Source organism: Homo sapiens, chromosome 12, assembly GCF_000001405.40.
Source record: "Homo sapiens chromosome 12, GRCh38.p14 Primary Assembly".
Lineage (NCBI taxonomy): Eukaryota > Metazoa > Chordata > Mammalia > Primates > Hominidae > Homo > Homo sapiens.
In genome coordinates, this window is record NC_000012.12 from 120,589,118 (window position 1) to 120,598,073 (window position 8,956).

The 8,956-nt window shown below is 50.7% G+C and overlaps 1 pseudogene, besides 3 other annotated features; it reads right to left on the minus strand.

Annotated features, from left to right (window-relative positions):
- Positions 1,555-2,454: an enhancer, noted in NCBI's record as "H3K27ac hESC enhancer chr12:121028475-121029374 (GRCh37/hg19 assembly coordinates)". NCBI's record gives its function as "activates a minimal SCP1, AML or CMV promoter by ChIP-STARR-seq in primed H9 embryonic stem cells {active_cell/tissue: H9 hESC(primed)}" and the evidence as "EXISTENCE:reporter gene assay evidence [ECO:0000049][PMID:30033119]".
- Positions 2,455-3,353: an enhancer, noted in NCBI's record as "H3K27ac hESC enhancer chr12:121029375-121030273 (GRCh37/hg19 assembly coordinates)". NCBI's record gives its function as "activates a minimal SCP1, AML or CMV promoter by ChIP-STARR-seq in naive H9 embryonic stem cells {active_cell/tissue: H9 hESC(naive)}" and the evidence as "EXISTENCE:reporter gene assay evidence [ECO:0000049][PMID:30033119]".
- On the minus strand, positions 4,847-5,449 carry RPL11P5 (ribosomal protein L11 pseudogene 5; annotated as a pseudogene).
- Positions 7,938-8,438: an enhancer, noted in NCBI's record as "H3K4me1 hESC enhancer chr12:121034858-121035358 (GRCh37/hg19 assembly coordinates)". NCBI's record gives its function as "activates a minimal SCP1, AML or CMV promoter by ChIP-STARR-seq in primed H9 embryonic stem cells {active_cell/tissue: H9 hESC(primed)}" and the evidence as "EXISTENCE:reporter gene assay evidence [ECO:0000049][PMID:30033119]".

Consider the following 8,956-nt stretch of genomic DNA (forward strand, 5'->3'; position numbering starts at 1 on the left):
GGGCGGGCGGCCTCCCAGTTCGGGATGTTCCCAGCGCGTTCCCACCGCTCACACTTGGAGGGAGAAGGACCTCAAAATAGCTGCTGCTTCCCCAGCACGGCGCTAGGCCAGGGACAGGAATAGACATCTGGGGGTGGCCGCTGCAGCCTCCCTCAAGGACCCTGGGGGGCTGGAAATAGGCAGAGGCCAGAACCCCACCAATGTGGAGGGGATGGTACAGCTGTCTATGTGCGGTGACCCGCCTGTGACAGTCCAGCCCATGGAGTGTGTTGCCCCAGCTGGGGCTAGCTGGTCAGTGGGTCACCAGCTGTAACCAGACACTGGCCATGGGCTGGATTGTTAAACCAAAAGGGAGTGTCCTTCAGCACTGGCTCCTGTGATCCTCTCTGGGAAGGTGGGAAAACTAAGGCCCAGAGAAAGGTTCACATGCCTGAGATCATGCAGCTGATCTGTTTGGTGAGCAGCAGCCAGACTGACAGGAAAGGTAGGCCTTGGGGCTTTGAGAGCAGCGTAGGGCGGTGGTTAAAGGGTTGGAGGACTCAGACTGCCTGGTTTAAATCCAGCCTCAGCTACCTATGTCCTGCATGCCCTCAGGCCTCAATTTCATCATCTATAAAATGGGCACAAGGAGAGTACCCACCTCCTTTAATGGTTGTAAAGACTGAGTGAATTATTCTTTGTACTGTTGTTATTGTGTTTTCCCCAGATTCCTTTTTTTGTTGAGACAGGGTCTTGCTCTGTCTTGCAGGCTTTGGTGCAGTGGCATGATCATAGCTCACTGCAACCTTGAACTCCTGGGGCTCAAGCGATCCTCCCATCTTGGCCTCCCATGTAGCTGGGACTATAGGTGCATGCCACCATGACTGGCTAATTTTTATTTCTACTTTTAGTAGAGATGAGGTCTCACTATGTTGCCCAGGCTGGTCTTGAACTCCTGTCCTCAAGTGATCTTCCTGCCTCAGCCTCCCAAAGTGTTGGGATTACAGGCGTGAGCCACGGTGCCCGGCCGTATTATGCTCAGTTTTATAGATGAGCAGAGCGAACATCAGAGAGGTGAAGTCACTCCTCCAGGGTCACATAACTGGGAGGTAACAGAGCTAGGATTTGAAACCCAGTCTGCCTGCCTGCATAGCCCATGGAAGTAACCACTGCATGACATTCTTTATCGGGACACTTTTTTAGACGGAGTCTCACACTGTCGCCCAGGCTGGAGTGGAGTGAGGCGATCCCTGCTCACTGCAACCTCCGCCTCCCGTGTTCAAGCGATTCTCCTGCCTCTGCCTCTCAAGTAGCTGGGATTACAGGCACATGCCACCATACCCGGCTAATTTTTTTGTATTTTTAGTAGAGATGGCGTTTCACCATGTTGGTCAGGCTGGTCTTGAACTCCTGACCTCATGATCTGCCCACCTCGGCCTCCCAAAGTGTTGGGATTACAGGTGTCAGCCACCGCGCCTGGCCGGGATACTTTTTTTTTTTTTTGTGAGTCAGAATCTCACTCTGTCACCCAGGATGGAGTGCGGTGGTGCAATCATGGCTCACTGCAGCCTTCACTTCCCTGGGCTCAGGTGATCCTCCCACCTCAGCCTCCCAAGTAGCTGGGACTACAGGCATGCACCACCATGCCTGGCTAATTTTTTTTTTTTTTTGTATTTTGTGTAGAGATGGGGTTTTTCCATGTTTCCCAGGCTGATTTCAAACTTCTGAGCTTGGGTGATCTGCCTCCTCAGCCTCCCAAAGTGCTGGAATTACAGGCATGAGCCACTGTGCCTGGCCTGGGACATTCTTTATAGGGGAGACAGACATGTCGTTCACTTGTTACTGCCCAGGTGTTTGGCACTTGGAGGAGGACTCCACTCCCTCGGCCTGGACATTTATGACCTCAGCCCCCAGTGGTCCCTCCCTGACCTCTGCTCCAGGCCTCTCCAAGTGGCCAGGGCCTTCTTGGGAGAAGGGAGGCTCGGGGAAGCCCACAGCCCAACCTCACTCATGTACCAGTCTCATGTGAGATGTGAGGTCCCCAGCCTGCATTACAGAATTCCTACCTCCCTTCCACTGGGTTTCCCTGAGTACTTACTGTGCCAGGCCTGCACTAGGCTCTGAGAACAAAAGAGGACTTTGTCCCTGCCCTGATATTGCTCACTAGGTGGTGAGACAGGTTGTTAAAAAGGTAGGCTGGGCGCGGTGGCTCACGCCTGTAATCCCAACACTTTGGGAGGCAGAAGTGGGTGGATCACCTGAGGTCAGGAGTTCAAGACCAGACCTACCAACATGGTGAAACCCTGTCTCTACTAAATACAAAAAATCAGTCAGGCGTGGTGGCGGGCACCTGTAATCCCAGCTACTCAGGAGGCCGAGGCAGGAGAATCACTGGAACCCGGGAGGCAGAGGTTGCAGTGAGCTGAGATCGCGCCACTGCACTCCAGCCTGGGCAACAAGAGTGAAACTCCGTCTCAACAACAACAACAACAACAACAAAAGGCAAGAGCAGCTACTGCTCTTGTAAGAATGGGGGTAAACAGGTGCCTGGAGGAGGCACTTAACTCAGCCCAGGTGGTCAGGGAAGGCTTCCTGGAGCCGGTGGTGTCTGAGCTGAGGCCTGAAGGAGAAAAAGAGCTAGGGGAAGAGAGAGGAGGTAGGAAAGAGTGCTGTAGGAAGAGGGAACTGCTTGTGCTAAGGAAGCGACGTGCTGAGTTCCGGGAACTGTGAGTTGTAGGGGATAGAGGTGTGGGTGAGGGGGACTGGGACTGCAGAGATGGGCAGGGACAGGTCCCTCAGGGCCTTGTTGGGCACACTGAATGCTTGGATACTGAGTGGACGGCTGAGAGAATGAGATCGGGAGCTGGAAGCTTCCCTTTGGCTGCAGGGAAGAATAGACCTCAGGCGGCTGGACTGGAGGTAGGGACCCTGGGGAGGAAGCTGCTGCCTGGAGGGAGACGAGAGACTTGGATGAGGGTGGTGGGGATAGAGAGAAACGGGTGGCTTTGTAAAGTGTTTACAGGTAGAACTGGTTACCTCTTGCTGCACGATAAATCACCCCAAAACTGTGTGCCTTAAAACAACAACACTGTTTTTTTCTCATGATTCTGTAGGGTGAGAGGGCAGTTCTGCATCACGTGGGGTTGCTGGGATGGCAGGAAGGTCCCAAGTGGCCTCACCCACGTGGCTGGCAGTCATTGTTGGCTGCCGGCTGGGTGCTCAGTTAGGGCTGTTGGTTGGGGGGAGCCTCAGCTTAGTGCATTCACAATGTTGAGCAACCACCACCTCTTCCTAGTTTCACACTTTCCTATCACTCCATACCCATATGGCAATCTCTCCCCATCCTCCCTCCCCCCAGCCGCTGACAACCATGAATCTGCTTTCTGTCTCTATGGGTGTACCTATTCCAGACATTTCAGATCCATGGAATCATACAATATGTGACCTCTGGTGTCTGGCTGCTTTCAGTTAGCATGATGTTGTCAGGGTTCACCCATGTTGTAGCATGCGCCAGCACTTCATTCCTTTTTATGGCTGAATAATATTCCATTGTATGGCTAGACCACAATTTGTTTATCCATTAATCTGTTGATGGATATTTGGCTTGTTTCCACCTTTTGGCTCTTGGGAATAATGCTGCTATGAGCATTGGTGAACAAGGATCTGTTTGAGTCTCTGCTTTCAGTTCTTTAGGAATGGAATTTCTGTCATATGGTAACTCTATGTTTAACTTTTTGAGGAACTGCCAAACTGTTTCCCACAGCAGCTGCACCATTTTCCACTCCCAGCCGCAATGGATGAGTGCAATGGACTGAATGTTCATGTCCTCCCCAAAATCATATATTGAGATCCTCACCCATGAAGTGATGGCATTAGGAGGTGGGGCCTTCGGGAAGTAAACAGGCCATGAGAGTGGAGCCCTCATCAGTGGGATGAATGTGCTTAGAAAAGGGACCCCGGAGAACACTGTTGCCTTCTCTCCACCATGTGAGGGGACAATGAGAAGTCCACAGTCTTCAACCCAGAGGAAGGCCCTCACCAGAACCCGGCCATGCTGGCCACCGTGACCTCACACTTCCAGGGTCCAAAACTACGAGAAATACATTTCTGGTTTTTGTTGTTGTTGTTTCTTTTTGAAACGGGGTCTCACTCTGTTGCCCAGGCTGGAGTGCAGTGGCAGAGTCTCGGCTCACTGCAACCTCTGTCTCCTGGGTTCAAGCGATTCTCCTTCCTCAGTCTTCTGAGGAGCTGGGATTACAGGCCCCTGCCACCATGCCCGGCTACTTTTTGTATTTTTAGTAGAGATGGGGTTTTCCCATGTTGGCTAGGCTGGTATCAAACTCCTGTCCTCAAAAGATCCACCCTCCTCAGCCTCCCAAAGTGCTGGGATTACAGGCATTAGCCCCCGCGCCTGGCTGAATTTCTGTTGTTTATGAGCCATCCGGTCTACAGTACTTTGTTATAGCTGCCTGGATGGACTAACACAACAGAAGTGTCTATTTTTCCACATCCTTACCAACACTCGTTATTTCTGTTTGTTTGAGATGGAGTCTTGCTCTGTTGCCCAGGCTGGAGTGCAGTGGCACGATCTTGGTTCACTGCAACCTTCACCTCCCAGGTTCAAGCGATTCTCCAGCCTCAGCCTCCCCAGTAGCTGAGACTACAGGCGTGCGCCACTACGCCTGGCTAATTTTTATATTTTTAGTAGAGACGGGGTTTCACCATGTTGGCCAGGATGGTCTCGAACTCCTGACCTTAGGCGATTAGCCGGCCTCGGCCTCCCAAAGTGCTGGGATTACAGGCACGAGCCACCGCACCCAGCCAGCACTTGTTATTTCTCTCCCCACTTCTTATTTTATTTTGTTTTACATTTCCCTGAAAACTGTTTATTGGCTTTTTGGATAGAAACGGGAATTTATTTGCAAGGAAGCATGATCCCATCACACTTCTGTTGGAGCCAGTGCATGGTCTCCTCTTTGCTGATTCTGTGTTTGGCCCCAGTGCAGCCTGTCCTGTGCTTCTTGTCTGTGATGCCGAAACCCGGCCTACTCAGCACCGCAGAGAAGTCCAGGCCATAGACACCCACACTTGGGTCATATTTGATACCCAGATTGATGTGTTCCTGGATCCCAAAATCAAAGTTTCCAGTATCTGAGAAGTTATTTTTTCTCAACTCATACTCCCATACCTCTAGACCCTTCTCCAGGATTTCTTCTGCTTTGGCCTCTTGAACTATGCAGCGGACAGCATTTTCGGCTTTTCATTTTTCCGGATGTCAAACAATATGACAGTGTATCTGGCTTTGGAAAACACAGGGTCCGGGCTGCAAGCTGCTCCAATGCTTTGGCTGCAGGGATCAGTCTCTACTCTCCCCAACACAGATGTCGAGGCAGAGCTTGTGAATGCAAAGTTCCCACGTGGGGTTCTCCTTTTCACCTTCATCCTGTGCCATGATGGAGAACAGGAAGAGCTCTGCCCCCTTTTTAAAAATTAAGGCCATCCTAGTGGGTGATATCTTATTGTGGTTTTGATTTACATTTACTTAATGGCCAATGATGTTGAACATCTTTTTCATATGCTTTCTGGCCATTTGTTTATCTTCTTTGGAGAAATGTCTGTTCGCTTACTTGGCTCATTTTTTTTTTGTTGTTGTTGAGACAGAGTCTTGTCCTTGTTGTCCAGGCTGGAGTGCAGTGGCACGATCTCAGCTCATTGCATCCTCTGCCTCCCAGGTTCAAGCGATTCTCCTGCCTCAGTCTCCTGAGTAGCTTGGATTACAGGCACCCACCACTACGCCTGGCTAATTTTTGTATTTTTAGTAGAGACAGGGTTTCGCCATGTTGGCCAGGCTGGTCTCAAACGCCTGACCTCGTGATCTGCCCACCTCGGCCTCCCAAAGTGCTGGGGTTACAGGCGTGAGCCACCGCATCTGGCTCACTTGGCCCATTTTTTAGAAGGGTTGTTTGTCTTTTTGTTGTTGAGTTCTTTATATATTCTGGATACTAAATTCTTATCAGATATACGATGTGCAAATATTGCCTCCCATTCTGCAGGTTGCCTGTTTACTTTCTTGATAATGTTCTTTGATGCAGAAAAGTTTTTACTTTTCATGAAATCCAGTTTGTCTCTTTTTTCTTTTGTTTCTTGTGATTTCAGTGTCAAATTGAAGAATCTGTTGCTAAATCCTAGATCATGAAGATTTATCCCTGTGGTTTATTTTATTTTATTTATTTTATTTTTTCTGAGATGGAGTTCACTCTTATTGCCCAAGCTGAAGTGCAATAACACGATCTCGGCTCACGGCAACCTCCACTTCCCAGGTTCAAGTGATTCTCCTGCCTCAGCCTCCCGAGTAGCTGGGACTACAGGCGTGAGCCACCACACCTGGCCTTATGGTTTCTTTTAATTGTTCTATGGTATTAGCTCCTACCTTTATGTCATTGATCTATTTTTTGTTGTTGTGTGTTTGTTTTTGAGACAGGGTCTCACTCTGTCGCCCAGGCTGGAGTGCAGTGGTACAATCTTGACTCACTGCAGTCTCCACCTCCCGGTACAAGTGACTCTTGTGCCTCAGTCCCCCAAGTAGCTGGGACCACAGGTGTGTGCCACCATGCCTGGGCAGTTTTTGTACTTTTACTAGAGACGGGGTTTCACCATGTTGGCCAGGCTGGTCTCAAATTCCTAACCTCAGGTGATCTGCCCGTCTTGGCCTCCCAAAGTGCTGGGATTACAGGCGTGAACCACTGTGCCCAGCCTCAATCTCTACCTCTTGATGGGAGGTCAGCATGCCCTTATAGGGTGGCGGGGGAATGGTTGGGGGCCGTCTTTGGAGAGAGTCTACTACAGGAAGTTTTAGTAATCAGTTGGCTGTAAGAGGTTGGAGAGAAGAAGAACAGAAAAAGGCAGGCAGGGTATCATCCACATTTCTGGGTTGAGCCATTGGGCAGTTAGAGAAGCCTGGGGAGAAGCAAGAATGAGGTGAAGGAAATCAGTCACGGACATATTGAGTTTGAGCTCCTGTAGGCATCCAGGCCCCAGGAGCCCTGGGAATCAAATAAATGATAAACAAAACATGGAAGGGTACTTACAAGGGCTTATTTAACAAATATATTCAATAAATATTTATGGAACACTTTATGCTAATACTACCTAACATTTATGTGATGCTAGCCATGGGTCAGGTACTTTGCATTTAAAAAAAAATTGAGTTATGGCCGGGTGCAGTGGCTCACACCTGTAATCCCAGCATTTGGGGAGGCCGAGGCGGGCGGATCACGAGGTCAGGAGATCGAGACCATCTTGGCTAACACAGTGAAACCCCGTCTCTACTAAAAATACAAAAAATTAGCTGGGTGCGGTGGCGGGTGCCTGTAGTCCCAGCTACTCCGGAGGCTGAGGCAGAAGAATGGTGTGAACCCGGGAGGCGGAGCTTGCAGTGAGCCGAGATAGTGCCACTGCAGTCTGGCCTGGGCGAAAGAGCAAGACTCTGTTCTCAAAAAAAAAAAAAAATTGAGTTGTAACATACATACAGTAAAATGCATAAATCTACCGTGGTGGTGGTGTTATTTTTGAGATGGAATCTCAAGAATGAGATTCCAACAGAGTTGCCCAGGCTGGAGGGCAGTGGCATGATCTCGGCTCACCGCAATCTCTGCCTCCCAGGCTCAAGCGATTCTCCTGCCTCAGCCTCCCGAGTAGCTGGGATTACAGGCACCTGCCACCACGCCTGGCTAATTTTTGTATTTTTAGTAGAGATGGGGTTTTGCCATGTTGCCCAGGCTGGTCTCGAACTCCTGTGCTCAAGTCATCCACCCGCCTCAGCCTCCCAAAGTGCTGGGATTATAGGCATGAGCCACCCTACAATGTACATTTCATTGAATTTTATATATCACCTTGCAGGTAAAGATATAGAACATTTCCAGCCCCAGAAAGCCCCCTCTCAGCCATGTTATATTTAATTTTCACATTGACCCTATGAGGTAGGTAGTGTGATTATTCCCATTTTTCAGATGATGAAACTGAGACTTAGGTGAAGCGACTTTCCCAAAACCACATGGGGATAGAGTCTGGACTCTAATTTAGGTCTATATGACTAGGAACGTGGATCCCTTTCCAGCCCACCAAGATTTCTCCCTAAGGCCAGACTCTTGACTCTCAGACCCTCTGAGACCAAGCTGGGGAACACCCCATTCCCTCACTGAGCTGGGACTGGACTCAGACCTCTGGGGGGCACCCTGAGGGCAGGAGCTAGGTGGTCCAGCCTCCACTGGAGAATGGGAGCCCCTCATTTGTGGCTCTGTGGGAGGTACAGGGCCAGGGAGGATGTGGATTTAGGGTGAAGAGGGAAGAATGAGACGGGCCCTTCCATGTCCCCATCAGTCAGGGAGGGGGCCACCTGTGGGTGGTGCTGGCCGAGGCTACACGGCAGGTTGCAGCTGCACTCATTTCCCAGCAATGGGCCCCGGGGAAGATCAGCTTTGACCACGCCTCATCGACTTGATAGGGGAGAGGAGGGGAGCCACACCTGTCAGAACGACTTCAGGCCCTGCTTCCCAAGCATCCCTCAGACCTGCCGGGAGGCTCCTGGGAACGTCTCCTGGGCCTCCTTCAGGAGGACAGAGGAGGCTCCCCCCCAACCCCACGTGTCTGCCCCGCGCAACGCTCTGACCTCTTCTATCCTCTCCTCAAGTTAAAACTGACCTCCTCGCTCTTCTCCCAACCTGTGAAGCCCCTACTTGCCTCAGGGCCTTTGCACTCAATGTTCCCTCCATCTGGAACCTTCTGCTTCCTGGATTTTGCATGGCAGCCTCAGCCTTCTCATGCGTCCTGGCTCAAATGTCACCTCTTTAGAGGGCTATTCCCTGGACAAGTTGCCCTATTTAGTGCTCTCCTCACCAGCCAGCACAGTGGTGCCAGATGGCCTGGATTTGAATCACAGCTCCACCTGCTCCAATGCTGTGTGGCACTGGGCAGGTTA